Raw genomic sequence first — 18,150 nt, forward strand, 5'->3', positions numbered from 1 at the left:
GAGAGGCTGGAAATGCACGCGGGGTCCTCGAATTAAAGCTGGGCTGGGAATACCATGACTTAGATTCCCAGTGCCCAGCCCCAGCCTGGCCAGGAGGGTGGTGGCCCTGCCCCAGCTCCACCCAGCTATCTGTCCACCCTGCTTCTGGTGGGCCGCCTGGGGCCAATGCATCTCCAGTTATACTCCCATCCACCGTGATCCCAAGGAGCCAGGGTCTTGGTCTTACACCCCCAGGCTCATGGACACTCACTGAGGCTTATTTTTAGAGCTCAGAGGACTTGAAGTGCTCCCTGAACCAGCATGCGTGGGTCAAGTTGGAAAGGGCACATTCTAGAATTTCTTGTTTTCAGTTGGTTTTATAACGCCTTTTGTTTGAATGTATTGACAGAAGACTCAGTACCGGACCCCTGAGAATGAGTCACCCCTCTTAATGGTGTACTGCCCTGTCAGTGGCACGTCTCAGGAGGTGACCCACTCGGCAGACAGCAAAGTGCTGAGTGCCATGATGGTTTCCCAGGGAGAAGGCGGATCCGAGCCGGTGGCGGGAGAAGGGAAGAGACAAAGGCCCACGCTGCGTCTTCTGGGAGTGGAGGAGCCTTTCTTTCTGGAGCAAGCAGAAAGTCATCTTATCAGTCAACTTGGCACTTCCTCCCATGAGAACGTGAGAAGATTCACATGGTTAAGGGGACTTTGATGTACAGAGATCTTGTTTCACTGCACAGGATTTTTAAGTTACTCAGATAAATGGGGGAAGACTTGACACTTATTGTGCATAATTTGAATTCAAATAGGCTCCCAGTGAAGGGAAATTACCAGACACTTCGAACAGAGTCTATGCCTTCCGTTCTGTGCCTTCTGCTGATATTTAGGCTCAGAACTGCCTTAGAGCTGCCTGATTTGTATAATCTAGAGAACAAAACCATGTTTTGGAATATCATAAAGCTGATATTTTTATTTTTGAAATGAAGTTATCCCCACCTGTGAATTATTTCTAAAACAAAAAAAAAAACAAAAACAAAACCTCTTAGGCTGGGCGTCATGGCTCACGCCTGTAATCCCAGTACTTTGGAAGGCCGAGGTGGGCAGATCTCTTGAGGGCAGGAGTTTAAGCCCAGCCTGGGCAACATGGTGAGACCCATCTCTACTAACAAGACAAAAATTAGCCGGGTGTGGTGGCACACACCTGTAATCCCAGCTATTCGGGAGGCTGAGACACATGAATCGCTTGAGCCTGGGTGGCAGAGGTTGCAGTGAGCCAAGATCATGCCACTGCTCTCCAGCCTGGGCAACAGGGCCAGACTCTGTCTCAAAAATAAATAAATAAATAAAATGGATCATAGACCTGACTGCTTCTTGGCCTTTCAGCTATAATAAGTGTAAAATAGATCATAGACCTGTATGTGAAATGCAAAACAATAAAACTCCCCCAAGATTACATAGAAGAATATTTTAGTGACTTTTGATTTGGAGACGAGTTTTTAGATACAACACCAAAGGCATAAGCCATAAAAGAAAAATATGATAAGTTGGACTTCATTAAAATTAAATATTTCTGCTCCATGAAAGACATTGTTAAGAGAATGAAAAGATAAGCCACATACTGGAAAAGAACTGGCAAAACACATACCTTATAAAAGATTGTATCCAAAATATACAAAGAACTCTTAAAATGTAACCGTAAGAACACAAACAACCCAATTTTGAAATGGGCAACAGATCTGAACCTCACAAATGAAGATATACACATGGCAAATAAACATATGAAAAGATACTCAGCATCATACATAATTAAGTAATTGAAAATCAAAACAACAGGCCGGGTGCTGTGGCTCACACCTGTAATCCCAGCACTTTGGGAAGCCAAGGCGGGTGGATCACTTGAGGCCAGGAGTTCGAGATCAGCCTGGCCAACATGGTGTAACTCCATCTCCACTAAAAATACAAAAATTAGCTGTGCGTGGTGGCCTCCCACCTGTAATCCCAGCTACTTGGGAGGCTGAGGCAGGAGAATCACTTGAACCCCGGAGGTGGAGGTTGCAGTGGGCCAAGATCATGCCACTGCACTCCAACCTGGGAAACAGAGCAATACTCTGTCTCAAAAAAATAAAATAAAATAAAACAACAATGAGATACCACTGCATGCCTATTAGAATGGCTAAACTTTAAATTTGACAATATCAAATGTTAGTAAGGATGAAGAGCAACAGGAACTCTCATTAATTGCTGGTGGGGATGTAAAATAGTGCAGCCAATTTGAAAGACAGTTTGTCAGTTTCTTACAATGCTAAACACACTCTTACCATAGGATCCAGCACCCACACCCCTAGGAATTATTCCAGATGAGTTGGAAACATGTCCATGCAAAAACCTGAAATGAATGTTTATAGCAACTTCACTTACAATTGCCAAAAGTCGAAATTACGAAGGTGTCCTCCAAAAGGTGAATGGATCAAAAAACCGTGGTGCGTCATACAGTGGGATACTATTCAACAATAGAAACAATGAGTCATCAAGCTGTGAAAAGACCTGGAGGAGTCTTCAACGTCTATTACTAATTAAAAGAAGCCAATCTGGAATGGCCACAGGCTATATGAAGCCAACTACATGACATTCCAGGCAAAACTATAAAGACAATACAAAGAGCAATGGTTGCCAGGGGTTGTTGGGGGCAGGGAGGGACGAATGGGTGGAGCACAGGCTATTTTTAGGACAGTAAAATGATTTTTTTTTTTTGAGACAGGGTTTCATTCTGTCATCCAGGCTGGAGCACAGTAATGCAGTCATGGCTCACTGCAGCTTTGACCTCCCAGGCTCAAGCAATCCTCCCACCTCAGCCTCCTGGGTAGCTAAGAGGCTCAAGCAATCCTCCCACCTCAGCCTCCTGGGTAGCTAAGAGGCTCAAGCAATCCTCCCGCCTCAGCCTCCTGGGTAGCTAAGACTACAGGTGCATACCACCATGCCTAGCTAAGTTTTCCTTTCTTATGCTGCCCAGGCTGGTCTCAAACTCCTGGGATCAAGCAATCCTCCTGCCTCAGCCTCCCAAAGTGCTGGGATTACAGGTGTGAACCACCATGCTCAGCCATGAAACGGTTTTATATGATACTATAATGGTGAATACATGACATGATGCATTTGTGAAAACTCATGAAACTATACAACACAAAGAGTGGCCGCTTATGTGCACTATGAACTTTAGTTAATAACAAGATATCAATAATAGCAGTTCATCAATTGTAGTTAATGTCAATAATTACTAGTTACACTAGTACAAAACATGACTAATAGCAGAATTTGTATCTGTGTGTGGAGGAAGGGGGTATATGGAAACTCTCTGTACCATCTGCTCAATTTCTGTAAACCTAAAGCTTCTCTAGAAAATAAAGTCCATTAATTTTAAAAAGCAATTAGGAGCCGGACATGGTGGCGTACACCTGTAGTCCGAGCTATTTGGGAGGCTGAGGGAGGATGATAACTTGAGGCCAGGAGTTCAAAGCTGCAGTAAGCTATGATCATCCCACTGCACTTCAGCCAGGGTGACAGAGCAAGACTCCTTCTCTAAAACAAAATAAAAATAATTATTTGAAAAATTAAAAAACAATTAGGGTATCATCTTGGTTTAAAAAATGTCAACAACCTTTACCCTAGATTTACACTAGTATATTCACAATTCTGAGATCCACGTGCGGGTTCCCTTGCCTGGAGTAACTAAAATCCCAGACATGCTCTAAGATCCTGTCAACTCCGTCTTGGGAAAAGCACCATCTGCTCAGAAGCCATCACTGCCTTCTCCTTTGTTTGAGGCCACATGAGTAAATCTCTGACGGTGGGATGATTGTACCTCAAGGCTCACATACGCATGGAGGTGGGTGAAACGCAGGTCTTTCCCATTCTTTCTGCAGCCGTCCATGGGGTCATTGTGCCCCTGCATCACTCCCGCGCTCACTGCCGGGCCCAGGACACTGGGGGAGGCCTTAGGGAGCAGGTGCTGAAGTGGCCTCCCCACTGAACAAAGCTAGTGTGCTGGTGAGACACACACCCAGGGGGTTTGTCTTTCTCAGTCTGCAAACATCAGGCAACAAGCATGGCACCATTCTACAACTGGGTTCAGGGTTCATATTAGGCCCGAGCTCTGTCAAATCTGTATAAACACACTGGTTTGGGGTCCCCGTCCCTCTTTCTCTCTGTTGGTCTCTCACAGGGGAGGGCTCTGGCTCTCCGTTAGCAGGCGTCCACACTGGCGTCTCTCAGACCCACATCTACCCTCCCAGCCCTCTGCCAACACCCTTCTTCACCCTCAGGTGGGGGCCCCTCATGGTGACCACAAGACCTCTTCAGGGCCTACACACTCACACACATACACAGAGACACACAGAGACAGACACACGTAGCGACAGAGACACAGACAGAGATACAGAGACAGACACACACACAGACACAGACACACAGAGACAGATACACACAGAGACAGACACACACAGAGATAGACACAGACAGAGATATACACAGAGACACACAAACAGAGACAGACACACACAGACACACACACACAGACACAGACACACAGAGATAGATACACACTGAGACAGACACACACAGAGATATACACACAGACACACACACAGACAGAGACAGAGACACACAGAGACACACACAGAGACAGAGACACAGAGACATACACACAGACACACACACAGACAGACACACAGAGACACACACACAGAGACACAGACACACAGAGACACACACACAGACACAGACACACAGACAGACACACACAGAGACACACGCACAGGGATATACACAGAGATGGACACACAGAGACACACAGAGACAGAGACGCAGAGACAGACACACAGAGATACACACACAGAGATATACAGAGACACACACACACAGACACAGAGACATACAGACACACACACAAACAGAGACACACACAGTAGACACACAGAGACACACTCACAGAGATAGACACACACGGAGACAGATACACTCACAGAGGCGCACGCCCCAACAGGGACACATATGGACACAGACACACACAGGCAGGCTGAGTTCAGTCCTCACCCACATAGGGGAGCAGGAGCTTCTCCACGCCCTTCGGGGACACTCTGGGGCAACCTGGTGCCCTGCAGCTGCGTCCCCTTCCTGAGGAGGGCCCGGGGCCTCTGCTGAGGCCACTGCTCCAAGGCTCCTAAAGTGGCTGCTTGGCCCCCAGCCCCCACATTCTCCAACTTCCCTGGGGACGCATATTCATTCTCTGTGGCTGCTCTACCTAGTGACCAAAATTTAGTGGCTTAAAACAGCACAAATGTCCTCGTAAGATTCTGCAGGTCAGAAATCTCAAAGCAGCCTCACAGGGCTGAAATCAGGGCTGGTGCCCTCTGGAGGATCCAGGGGAGTCGCCAGCCCTTGCCTCTCCCACCGTGAGGCCGCCTGCCTCCTCGCGGTGGCCAGCCCGCCAGCCTCTGCTTGAGTCACCTCTCCTCCCTCTCCAGCCCTCCTGCCCACTCTGTGACTCCCCCTGGCCACCGCGTCTCCCAGGATCCTCTCCGTCTCAGGATCCTTCACTCAATCACATCAGCACAGTCCCTGTGCTCCAGAGGCTGCTGTCACAGGTCCTAGGGATTGGGACGTGGACGTCCTTGGGGGGCCGTTCTCCAGCCGACCACAGGTGCCAGTGTACCCAGCCCGGCGGGGGGGGGGCCGCTTGTGGCAGACTGGCTCCTCCTCCGAGGCCCCCCTCTAGCTGTCCTCTCAGACATCTGCTCAGACATCCAACCCAGAGACTCAGGGACAGAGAGCTGGCACACAGGGCAAGGAGCCTTCCACATTTTTCTGTCTTACACCTGTACTTCGGCTCGTTATCTTAAACTGAACAGTGAAGGCTTTGAGAGTGTGTCCCCTGGTTCCGTGCGAAGGGCCACGCCCAGAAGAAAAGGAGCTGCTCCACCCAATGGGAGGAGTCCGGGGAAAGAAAAGGGGACAGGGTTCGGTTCCCCACAATTCTACTCCCCTCCAGCTATCTGGGAAAGGACCTCAGGAATGCATGCCTCTGCCTCTGCCATTGCAAGGTGAGGTCCAAGGGCCATGCCGCCAGGCACTCTGGGCTTAACCTTCTGCATAGAAGACAAGAACACCAAACTCCAGGAAGGTGGGATTCCTTCCTGGTGGCTGGGCTTGGAGGGAAGCTGGGAACCAGAGAGAGGGCCTCGGTAGAAACTGCCGGGAGGCTGCTCCAAGGGCAACTGGGAGAAATCCGAGGGGAGCAGAGCCTACAGCAGCCACGCATGTGGAGAAGAAGACAGGAAATCCTTGAAAGAGAGAGCTATTGGGAGGAAGGGCTAAGGAGTTCACATGACGTGCTCCCCTGGCCAATCTGCAAAGGTCAAGGATGGGGCGTCAGGAGCGGCCCCTCCAGCCACGGCACAGGATCCACTGTGTGTTCCCCGCAGCACCGGCGAAGCAATCAGCCACAGCAGCTGCGTGGAAAATCCTGCCCCACCACCATCCTCTTGTCCCCACGCACGACGATCCCGGGAGGCAGTGACCAGAGGGTTCAGTTTCCAGGTCACTGCATGAGGGTGTCCTTCTTGCCAGGCAGAGCCAGTGCTGAGGCTCCCCTGCAGCCTCCCCACGCCATGGACGGTGGAGTCGGAAGCATAAAAGCCCCAGGACTGCGCCGTGTTTAATAACATCCAGACTCGAGGTCACAAGCCCCAGCCTCAAGGTTAGAACTTACCTTAAACTGGACTTCGATTCTTGGTGATTGTGAAGCCTTAAGCAAATTATCGAATCCCTCTATGCCCCAGTTTCATCATCTGAAAAAGCAGGATGACAATACTCAGCTCGTAGAGCTTTGTAAGCGCTGAATGAGGAGCAGGTGAAGTGCTCAGTGCCATTCTGGACACTTGGGCTGTGTCCAGGGTGCCGCTAAGAGCACAGTCGACCCCTCTTCATACCTGCACCTGCCAGCAGCTCACAAGGTGGCCCCTGCTGAATAAAAGCAGGGGCAATTAGTAGTGGACTGCTCATACACGGCTATGGTGTCAGCATGTCAACGTGAATCAATGACTGAACAAGACACCGAGGCTCAAGGACAGCAGGGGACAGCAAGATGAGTGAGTCTATGAAAGCCCGCGTATTTCTGCATGTACACGTACTTGCTTTCTTTCCCTGCTGTAACACATTACCGCAATCTTAACGGCTTACAACACCTATTTATTCTCTCACAGTTCCTCAGGTCAGAAGGCCGGGCAGTTTTGCCTGACTGGTCTTCTGCTTAGGGTGGTGGGAGCCTGAAATCAAGGTGACAGCAGGCCCACGCCCCTTTCTGGAGGCTCTCGGACTGAATCTCCTCCCAGACTCTTCCAGGCTGTGGTCTGAATGCTGTTCGTTTGGTCAGATTCCCATCTTCATGCCGGCTCTCAGTCAGGGGCTAGTCTTGGCTCCCCGAGGCGGCCCAGGTTCCTGCTCATGCCCTTCACGCACCCCTCCACCACCCGCCGGCCAGGTCCCTCTCGTGCTCTGATGCGCTCTGACTCTCCTTTCTGCTGAATCTCTGACTGCAGCTGGAGAAAGTTCTCGCTTTGAAATGCTCACACGATTAGATTAGGCCCGCAAGGATGATCCAGGATAATCTGCCGAGGTTAAATCCTGGAACTTTAAGGCCATCTGCAAAGTCCCTTTAGCCATGCAACGTAACATAGCCACAAGTTGGCTCTGGGGATTGGGGCATGGACATTTGGAGGGTCATTATTCTGCAGACCACACACATGCACACATCTCTCTTGTTCCTGGAACACCGATGTTCTCTCCACCACATTCAATACAGCGTGTAGAGATTTTTTTTTTGTTTGAAACAAGGAAGGAGTGCAGAGGAAGAAAGGGGACAGGCAAATGCCCCCAGGCCGGAGAAGAAAGGCCCAGGAGACAGGAGCAGGTGACTGTGGGGTTTTCCTTCTCAATTCACAACACAGGGCTAGTCACATCCTTCCGTCCATCCCTCTCTTCCTACCTCCCTTTCTTTTTTCTGTTCCTTCATTTCTTCCCATCTTTCTTCCCTTCCTTCAGCATGTGACAAAAATATGAGGATCGGATCTTTTCTGGCAGGAGGAAAGAAGAATGATGGGATGACATCTAACGCCTTGCCGGGCTCCAGCAGTACGAGGCAGCCATGTGTCAAAAGTCAGAGACACAAACCAGCACGTGCCCCTCTAATCACAGAGTCTCAGTGCAGGTCCTCCTGCCATTGCTCTTCCAGCCAGCCCACAAGCCGGGCAGACAGGGTGCCTCCGCCTCCTATTAGCAAGCTTCTAAATGTGGTTTGTTTTCCATGGAAAGATTGCACATCCTACCAATAGGCTACATCTATGATAACACTGAGATTGTTACTAAGTCTGAAATTGAAAATAATCCACATTTGGTATTTTCAAATAATATTTAGTAGTTGAAATCTAAATAAATCAAAATTATTTTAGGCTAGGTGCGGTGGCTCACGCCTGTAATCCCAGCACTTTGGGAGGCCGAGGTAGATGGATCACTTGAGATCAGGAGTTTGAGACCAGCCTGGCCAACATGGTAAAACCCTGTCTCTAATGAAAATACAAAAATTACCTGGACGTGGTGACACACACCTGTAATCCCAGCTGCTTGGGAGGCTGAGGCAGAAGAATCCCTTGAACCTGAGAGGCAGAGGTTGCAGTGAGCCAAGATCGCGCCACTGCACTCCAGCCTGGGCGACGGAGCGAGACTTCGTCTCAAAAAAAATAAAAATTAAAGGCCGGGCCGGTGGCTCACGCCTGTAATCCCAGCACTTTGGGAGGCTGAGAAGGGTGGATCACGAGGTCAGGAGATAGAGACCATCCTGGCCAACATGGTGAAACCCTATCTCTACTAAAAATACAAAAATCAGCTGAGCGTGGTGGTGCACATCTGTAGTTCCCAGCTACTCTGGAGGCTGAGGCAGGAGAATTGCTTAAAGCAAGGAGTCGGAGGTTGCAGTGAGCTGAGATCACGCCATTGCACTCCAGCCTGGCAACAGAGCGAGACTCTGTAAAATAATAATAATAATTTAAAAAAAGAAAATTAAATAAAACATATTTTAAAATAAAGGTATTTGGGGGAAGTGTGATTTGCAGACTCTTAAGATATAAAGTCCTTCATAGACTTGAAGAAAATTTATGGTAAGTTAGACTTTAAAATAATTCATTTGAGCTCTTTCCTTTTGCTGCTGTGGCCGCAGCCATGAGCACGCTCAGGCTTCAGAAGAGGCTCGCTGCTAGTGTCCTCCGCTGTGGGAAGAAGAAGGTCTGGCTGGACCCCAAGGAGACCAATGAACTCGCTAATGCCAACTCCCGTCAGCAGATCTGGAAGCTGATCAAAGATGGGCTGATCATCCCCAAGCCAGTGACTGTCCATTCCAGCTCGATGCCGGAAAAGCACCTTGGCCCGCCGGAAGGGCAGGCACATAGGCATAGGTAAGCAAAAGGGTACAGCCAATGCCCGAATGCCAGAGGAGGTCACGTGGATGAGGAGAATGAGGATTCCGTGCTGGCTGCTCAGAAGATACCGTGAATCGAAGAAGCCTGATCGCCGTATGTATCACAGCCTGTACCTGAAGGTGAAGGGGAATATGTTCACGAACAAGCGGATTCTCATGGAACACAGCCACAGGCTGAAGGCAGACAAGGCCTGCAAGAAGCTCCTGGCTGACTAGGCTGAGGCTCGCAGGTCTAAGACCAAGGAAGCACGCAAGCGCCGTGAAGAGCGCCTCCAAGTCAAGAAGGAGGAGATCTTCAAGACTTTGTCCAAGGAGGAAGATACCAAAAAATAAAAGCTCCCCCGTTGTCCGTACATACTGGCCTCCGTGATTACATAGATCAGCCATTAAAATAAAACAATCCTTTAAAAAAATCTGTTTTATTGAGGTATCATTCACATACAATAAAATGGGTCCACTTTAAGTGTCTTTTTCAATGAGTCTTGACAACCATTCGTGCTGCATTAACAGCTGCGGCCATCAGGATGCAGAACACTTCCATCAACCCAGGGAGTTCTTTCCCACTCTCTCCAGTCCATCCCCCACCCTCTCCAGTCAATCCCCACACTCGTGCCCCATGCCGTTTTTTTTGAGATGGAGTCTTGCTCTGTCACCAGGCTGGAGTGCAGTGGCGCGATCTCGGCTCACTGCAACCTCCGCCTCCCAGGTTAAAGCAATTCTCCTGCCTCAGCCTCCTGAGTAGCTGGGATTACAGGCGTGCGCCACCACACCTGGCTAATTTTTGTGTTTTTAGTAGAGATGGGGTTTCACCATGTTGGTCAGGCTGGTCTCAAACTCCTGACCTTGTGATCTGCCCACCTCGGCCTCCCAAAGTGCTGGGATTACAGGCGTGAGCCACCACGCCCAGCCCCTGTGCCATTTTTAAAATCACTGTAGAGCAGTCTCACCTGTTCTAGAACTTCAGGATTCTTCAGAGAAACCGTGTATGGAATGAGCTTTATTTTCAGGAACTCACTCACACAATTGTGGAGGCTGACAAGTTCAAAAACAGAGGGTGCACAGGGTGAGCAGGGCAGGCCGGCAGGCTAGCTCAGGCAAGGGCTGATACAGCAGCCTGGAGGCAGAATTTGTTCTCCAAGAAACCTCAGTATTTGTTCTGAAGGCCTTTGATTGATTGGATGAGGCTCACTCATATTATCAAGGGTAATCTCCTTTTCTCAAAGTCAACTGCCTGTGGGTGTTAACCACATCCACGAAACACCCTCGTGGCAATACTTGGCTTAGTTCTGATGAAATAACTACATACTATACCCTCGCTACATTGACACATGAGACTAAGTATGATAAAATAAAGGGGCGCATGCAGCTTGCACGCCTCCGTGTCTGGCTCCTTTCATTTTCGTAATATTTCGGGGACTCATTTGGGACTGCTGTTTGTATCAGTAGTAGCTCATGCCTTTTAGTTACTGAACAGTACTGCCTTCTATGATTACAATAGGCTAGATTCTAATACACACCAGGCATTTTCAATTCAGCTGTGAGATCTGAAAAACAATTTTAAAAAATAAAATTGCTGTCAATACTCAGAAACTTGTAAACACCAATTAGAATCCAAACAGAGAAATTCATTGAGCTATTAGGTTGGCGCAAAAGTCATTGTGGTTTAGCCAAATATTTTAAGTTTTTAGCATCATAAGAAGAATAGTTAAAAATCTCTTTTTAAAAAATAGTTAAAAATCTCTTGCTGGTCAGCTGATGCACAGTGGGACGCAGGGAAGGCAGCCCCCCAGTCTCAGGAATATGTTACTTTTGTGGCTATATCTTGTTTTTAGTTTAATTTAATGGGAGCTAATGAACCAGAAAATACATTCTAAACAAAAACTAATTATCTTGTCATCACTTCAAAAGACATATTTAACACACATTAAAGCAGTTACATAGGAACTAAGAATAAAATCCTACATCCCCCACTGGCTGAACGAACACCCCTGTGGCCAGGGGGGGCCCCAGGAAAACCTCAACACTGAGGCTATAATGGGGGATGGGAGGTCAGACAGGCCTCCTGATACCCCCGCCCTTTTGTGGTTTGGACACAACAGACCAGCGTTAACGTTAAACTAGAGACCATAAGACTGACAGAACGGACTCTGTGGCAGTAAGATGCCAAATCATAAACAGGGCCTAAGGCCGTGCGGGGGGAGGGTGAAGCCACGCACCGCACACTTACAGAGAAAACGTCGTTCCCACTGCTGTTGGGTTTTCCTTCCCTCCAGCAGCTAAATAAGCACTGGCCTTGATAGGAGCAACATTAAGCAACTGCAGCTCCACCAGCCACTAAGTGACCCCCAGCCCTGCTCCAGCAGCCGTAACTACAGCTTTCATTGGACAGAAGACTGTAACTGTCTCCTGATAAGAAACCACCGACCTTGGACTGGTTCTGGCCGGTTTACAGAGGTTGCACATCTGCATGCCTTCCTGTCCTGAAAAGACCTCTTGAGGTACAGGGCCTAGTCCTAATTTACTTATTTATTTATTTATTTATTTATTTAGAGACGGAGTCTCGCTCTGTCGCCCAGGCTGGAGTGTAACGGCACGATCTCGGCTCACTGCAACCTCTGCTTCCCAGGTTGGAGGGATTCTCCTGTCTCAGCCTCCCAAGTAGCTAGGACTACAGACATACGGGCGCCACCACGCCCAGCTAATTTTTGTATTTTTAGTAGACAGGGGGTTTCGCCATGTTAGCCAGGCTGATCTCGAACTCCTGACCTCAGGTAACCTGCCAGACTTGGCCTCCCAAAGTGCTGGGATTACAGTCGTAATATATTCAAATGTTTAGTCTCCCCGACAGAGTGAGATTGGGTCCTATGTTACATAATACACGTGTCAGGAGCCCCTTCCTGAGTATTCATAGCTCCTCCCAAAGCCTGTTGTCTATGTATGTTTAGCCAACCCGTTCAGCATAGAGCTCCTGCCCCAACTCCTCCTCCTACGAAGAGCCATCTCCCATCTTGGCCTGGGGGATGGCCACCTTGCTGGCTGTAACCATTTATAAGAAATAAAGTTCCTCTTTTTCTAAATTTATAAATTGTCAGGTTTTTAAGTTAACAAATAAAAGAGATCTGGTCATTAATTCAGGTTTTCAAGTGTCTTCCTGGGCAGATAGGCTAAATCTACATTTTAAAAACAAGATTACAGCCCCATTTTTCTGCTCTTCTTCTCCTCAACAGAGAAGTAGGTATTCACTGCCTCTAGTTCCTCTCCTGCCACTGTCCCCAGAGCCCTCTGCAAACTTGTGATCTGAGTCCATTCCATAGCCACCGCTCCGTCCAAGTCAGTAATGGCCTCCCAGTCCCTACAACCAAATGGTCACTCCTGTATACTCATCACATAGCATCACAGAGCAGCCACTCCCTCCTGTCTTCAGTGGATCCTGGAGATGGGTTCTCCAGGAGCCCACCTCGCAGGCTGCTCACTCATCCTCCACGTCCTCACCCCTTCAGGGCTCTGTCCTTGGTCCTGTCCCCCATCTGTCCTCCCTCCTGAGGTGACCTCACCCAGTTTCCTGACTTGAAATGACCTCTAAATGCTCTCACCTTGATGCTCTGGCTCTGACTTCCCTGTGTGCTCCCAGCCTGTCTGTGCAACAGCACTATGTGTTGACAGCGAACCTCTGGTCGGGCTGCACCGCCCCCACCCAGCTGTGCCTTCTGCTGCAGAAACTCCATCCTTCCAGGTGCTCAGACCACCCGAGAGCAGGCATTCCTAAGTCCCTGCTTTCTCTCACACCGCATCTTTTCCATCAGCAAATCCCAGGGGCTCTGCTGTCGAAGCACTTTTCTCTGAAATCTGACTGGTTCTCACCACCCCACCCCATGTTCACCACTCTATCCTCATCCCCATGCCTGGTCAGCCCAGCTGGCCACCTGATTGGTCTCCCTGCTTCCCCTCTTTGGGTCCCCACAAGCTATTCTCAGCAGAGCATCCAAAAGCCCAAGTCCATCACGATCGTCTTCTGTTCATGAGCCCATCTCATTCAGAGTCCAAGTCCCCTAAATGGCCTGCCCACTGTCCATCCTCCTCCACTTACCTCCCTGCCTTGACTCCAACCCCTGGCCTCCCCTCCACTCACTCTGCACCCACGCAGCTTCTGGCTGCCTCCTGCCCATGCCAGGCATGGCCCTCCTTCCTGTCCTGGCACTTGGTGGTCTCCCCTTCCTGGCCAAGCTTTCCTAGACGTCTGCATGGTTTGCTCTTTATCCTTGAGTCTTCTCCAGTCACCCCGTGCAAGACTCCAACTCTCCCCATACACATTTCCTTCTTCCCTGATTTTTCTCTCCAGCTCCGACTTATTATGTATTTATTTCCTTATTGTCTGTCTCCCCCACTGAAAGGTAAGCTCTACCAGGGCTGAGATTTCTCTGCTCTGTTAACCTCTCACCCCCAGGGCTGTGGAGTGTGCCGCACGTGGCAGGAGCTGTCAATAAATAATATTAATGGAGTGGACGAATGTTCCTGATTTGCAGCGACTGTCTTTTAGTGGTGCAATACCATCAGTGCCCACCGCAGCTACCCTGAAAGAAGTTCTGATTCCGGACATCAATCCCATAGGGACAGTCCCCCTGATGATAGCTCGACTTCAGATTTTTCAACTTTACGACGGGTAGATTGGGTATTAGATGCATTTTTGACTTAGGAAGGGCTTATTTGCGGGGAGGGTAGCCCCACTGTAAGTCGAGGAGCACCCATGATCGCTCAGTATGCCAGAGAAAACCACCCGCAAATGAAACGATCGGCCCTGTTTCCCTAAGACTGCACTGGGAGCTCCAAGAACCCCTAAGGTAGCCATCTGGTGAGCAACGGTGCGCTCCGAAAGGGAGGTGGACAGGATTGGGAGACCGAGGCCGGCAGATGGCTCGAGCCCAGGAGTTCGAGACCAGCCTGAGCAACATAGACCCCCGTCTCTACAAAAAATTTAAAAATCAGCGAGCCTGGCGGCGCGTGCCTGTGCTCGCAGCTACTTCCGAGGCTGAAGCAGTAGGATGGATTGAGCCCAGGAGGTCGAGGCTTTTAGGGAGTCGAGATCGCGCCCCCGCACTCCAGCCCGGGGAACAGAGCGAGACTCCGCGTCGGGGGCAGTGGGCGGGAGGCAGCGCTCAGGTACGGCGCGCTCAGGTGAGGCCGGCCCACATGCCCGCCCACCGCCGCCAAGCGCGTCCTCCATTGGCGGTTCCACGGAGAACCCACGTTTCCATTGGCCGATGCGGGATGGGGGCGTGTCCGGCCAAGCGGCGCCCTGAAGGCGTGTCCGGCCGCAGCTTAGGCTCTCCGGGAGTCCCCGGAGAGTAGGGGCGGCCGGCGGCGCTAGTCTTCTGGGGAGCGCCGGGTGCACACCGGACCACTGCGGGAGGCCTAGGGCCGAGGGCCGAGGAGCTGGCCTGCGCCCGGCGACCCCGGCTTCCCTCCGCAGTCGCCCAGGCGTCCCTTCCCCCCTACAGCCGAGCGGCGCCGGGCGCAGGCGCATTGGGCGCCCCCGGCAGCCCCCGCGGCCCGCCCCGTCCGCTGCCCGTCCGAGGAGGCGGAGGGCGATGACGTCATCGAGCGGGGCGACGGGCATTGGGCGCCATTTTGAAAAGGGAAAAAAATCCCTCCCCGGCGGCGGCGGCGGCGGCGGCGGCGCCGGCGGTGGTGGCGGCCCCGGGGCTGAGCGCTCGGCTGCAGCGGCGCGGAGGCCGTCTCCCTGGTCTGCCGCGGTCCCCGCCCGTCCCGCCGCCGGCTGCCATGGCAGGTGAGGGGTCTGCGCGGGCCGGCGGGGACCACGGGGGCGGGCGGGGGCCGCGGCCGGCCTGACCGCCCCGTTGTGTTTGCAGGAGCCGGAGGCGGCGGCTGCCCCGCGGGCGGCAACGACTTCCAGTGGTGCTTCTCGCAGGTCAAGGGGGCCATCGACGAGGACGTGGCCGAAGGTGAGCCCCGCGCCGCGCCCCGCCCCGGGACCCTCGCGGACAGCTCCCAGCCCGGCCGCGCGCGGCCTCCGGGCCCCAAGCGTCCGTGGAAGGCAGGCAGGAGGATGGGGGCCGGGCGGGGCAGGGGCCAGGGGCCGAGCTGGGGGCCGTGATCGGGGGGCGGCCGTCCTCTGTCCGCTGTCCCGGCCCGCGGGGCACGGGCGGAGGCGTCGGGCCCGCGGCGGGACTTATGTAAGTCACCAAGGTCACGGGCGGCCGGGTCCTCCGAACCCAGCGCCTGGGGCTGCCTCCTGCCCGGGGCGGAACCGAAGCCCGGGGCTGCCTCCTGCCTGGGGCGGAACTGAGGAGACCGCGGCGGAGCCGGGGACGGGAACGGAGTCCATATCGTGCGCTCGGGCAGCGCGGCACAATGGCCCAGAGGCTGGGAACGCGCCTAGGGCTGGGTCGGGGCCTCGGCCCCCACCAGGCTCTGCGTTTCATCGGCGGTGCGCTCTTGAGCGAGCTGGTTGCCTCGGCTCCCTGATTCTTAAGGTCTGCTTTCTGCGGTTCTAAAATCCTTGAATTTTACTGTGAGGTACTGCTACTTTCTCTACTGATATATTTTAAGGTCTCTATTCCAGATTTTAGTCTTGAACTTCATGGTATTACTTGAAGTTCACTGGTCTTTTCCTTAAATCATACTCTCAAATTGGCCCAGGCACAAAGTTTTAGGGTGGTGGGAGGGAACTGGGAAGTGCCTCCCACCCCAGCTTCCCATGAAGCTTACCTGTCACCTTAAAGTTAAAAAGCTATGTAGCTTTCCTTTTTCACCGTTGAATGGAGAACTTGGTCGAGTCTTAGAAGTTTGATTAATATTTCAGATTCAGAGTCATAGTGACTTTTTTGTTGTTGTTCATACATCTTACTGAACATTGTAAACCTTTAACCTTTTCTTAAAAATGATTGGTGTTTGCACCAAATACACCTTCCCTGCCTCAAGTTACTAAAAGCCCCTTGTCAGACGTCCTGTTCACTTCCCTCCATCTCGGCCCCCCCAACCCCGTGAACTTTTACTCCCTCTTCCCTACCCTGTACCTCTCCCTGGCAGTGTCTGGTTTGGCACATGACCCCTGAGGACATCTGGAGATTCTGCGCCCCCTGGGACAAACAGGGCCTAGGTTATTAAGCAGGTGAAACTGGGCTCTAAGAAATGCGTAATATATATGGTTTGAGATTAAAACTAGGTGCATTTTATGTGATCTAAAAAGTTTATTGATTTTATTTCTTTAAAATGCATTACTTTTTTTGTTTGATTTTGCATATGCTAAGCAAGTGACAGTTCAGCCTTACTCAAGTGTGATTTCTGTCGCAAGTAAAGCAAAACTTGTTTGGGAGTAGGAAAGTGAGAGGGCTTAATGCTTGCCTTAATTTCTGTTAACTCTTTATTTTGTTTTTTGGAGACAGGGTCTCACTTTGTAGCCCAGGCTGGATGGAGTGCAGTGGTGCGATCTGGGCTCACTGCAACCTCTGCCTCCTAGGCTCAAGCGATTCGCCCACCTCAGTCTCTGAAGTAGCTAGGACCACACACACGCGTGCACCACCACACCAGGCTAATTTTTGTATTGTTGTAGGGGATTTCGCCATGTTGCCCAGGCTGGTCTTGAACTCCTGGGCTCAAGTGGTCTGCCCACGTCAGTCTCCCAAGGTGCTGAGATTATAGGCGTGAGCCACCGCACCTGCCTGGTTTCTTTACTTAAAAAAAAAAAAATTATTGATAAGCTGAATGAATTAAAATTTAAGTATAACTAAGGTAGTATATTTTAAATGTGACTGTACACATATGAAAATAGTATTCTTTCTTTAAAAAAAATCTTGGGCCGGGTGTTGTGGCTCATGCCTATAATTCCAGCACTTTGGGAGGCCAAGGTGGACAGATCACTTGAGGTCAGGAGTTTGAGACCAGCCTGGCCAACACAGTGAAACCCCGTCTCTGCTAAAAATACAGAAGTTAGCCGGGCGTGGTGGCACATGCATGTAATCCCAGCTACCTGGGAGGCTGAGGCAGGAGAATCACTTGAACCCGGGTGGTGGAGGTTGCAGTGAGTGGAGATCGTGCCATTGCCCTCCAGCCTGGACAATAGAACAAGGCTCCATCTCAAAAAAAAAAAAAAAAAAAAAAAATCTTGACAAATACTTTGTTCTCTGAATTAAACTGATGGGAACTTTTTGCAGTTTTAAATCCCTATTTTAAGTTAAATTTTGAGTAAATCCAAAAGTTTGGTATTTCGAGTTGTCGTGGTTTCTTTTGTAACATTGCTTTGTGGTAATTATCTGCATGTGTTTTGGTTATTCTGTGTATTCAGAGCTGTCTATTTTAATCCATGTATGCTTTGGCCATAGTAACCCATCCAGATTAACACATTTATAAGTCACCATCGATTTGTCCCATAGTTGTGATACCGTTGCTTTGTATTAACACCAGAGAGTCAGTGATGATGAAGGGAAGTGTAGTCGTTAGTCACCAGGGATTGCTGAGCAGCAAGGATCAAGAAGCTGGTCATGCCCAAACGCAACCTTGAGGGAGAGATGTTGGTGAGAGATAAGAGATGGGTGGCTGGGTACGGTGACTCACACCTGTAACCCCAGCACTCTGGGAGGCTGAGGCGGGTGGATCACTTGAGGTCAGGAGTTTGAGACTAGCCTGGCCAA

The 18,150-nt window shown here is 50.7% G+C and overlaps 1 protein-coding gene and 1 pseudogene across 5 annotated transcripts in view, besides 4 other annotated features; both read left to right on the forward strand.

The window, feature by feature from the left end:
* The first annotated feature begins 5,997 nt into the window (after nt 1–5,997).
* Nucleotides 5,998–9,877, forward strand: LOC100134362 (60S ribosomal protein L19-like; annotated as a pseudogene).
* Nucleotides 14,400–14,499: an enhancer, noted in NCBI's record as "active region_4220". NCBI's record gives its function as "activates an Ori minimal core promoter by ATAC-STARR-seq in GM12878 lymphoblastoid cells {active_cell/tissue: GM12878}" and the evidence as "EXISTENCE:reporter gene assay evidence [ECO:0000049][PMID:35858748]".
* Nucleotides 14,740–15,249: a silencer, noted in NCBI's record as "silent region_2946". NCBI's record gives its function as "represses an Ori minimal core promoter by ATAC-STARR-seq in GM12878 lymphoblastoid cells {active_cell/tissue: GM12878}" and the evidence as "EXISTENCE:reporter gene assay evidence [ECO:0000049][PMID:35858748]".
* PPP2R2D (protein phosphatase 2 regulatory subunit Bdelta) overlaps nt 15,140–18,150 on the forward strand; it is a 70,526-nt gene continuing 67,515 nt past the window's right edge. For 4 of the 5 annotated variants that reach the window (NR_033191.3, XM_006717914.4, NM_001291310.2 and 1 more), the window contains exons 1-2: nt 15,140–15,287; nt 15,370–15,462. Coding sequence is in view for 2 of the 5 variants with exons in the window: in XM_006717914.4 (XP_006717977.1) it covers nt 15,281–15,287; nt 15,370–15,462 (100 nt within the window). In the remaining 3 variants the exon portion in view is untranslated. Of the gene's footprint in view, nt 15,288–15,369; nt 15,463–18,150 lie in introns of those variants that run through there. The other variant, XM_047425478.1, reaches the window with a different exon arrangement.
* Nucleotides 15,320–15,719: a silencer, noted in NCBI's record as "silent region_2947". NCBI's record gives its function as "represses an Ori minimal core promoter by ATAC-STARR-seq in GM12878 lymphoblastoid cells {active_cell/tissue: GM12878}" and the evidence as "EXISTENCE:reporter gene assay evidence [ECO:0000049][PMID:35858748]".
* Nucleotides 15,900–15,949: a silencer, noted in NCBI's record as "silent region_2948". NCBI's record gives its function as "represses an Ori minimal core promoter by ATAC-STARR-seq in GM12878 lymphoblastoid cells {active_cell/tissue: GM12878}" and the evidence as "EXISTENCE:reporter gene assay evidence [ECO:0000049][PMID:35858748]".

This window comes from Homo sapiens, chromosome 10 (genome assembly GCF_000001405.40).
Source record: "Homo sapiens chromosome 10, GRCh38.p14 Primary Assembly".
NCBI classification, from domain to species: domain Eukaryota; kingdom Metazoa; phylum Chordata; class Mammalia; order Primates; family Hominidae; genus Homo; species Homo sapiens.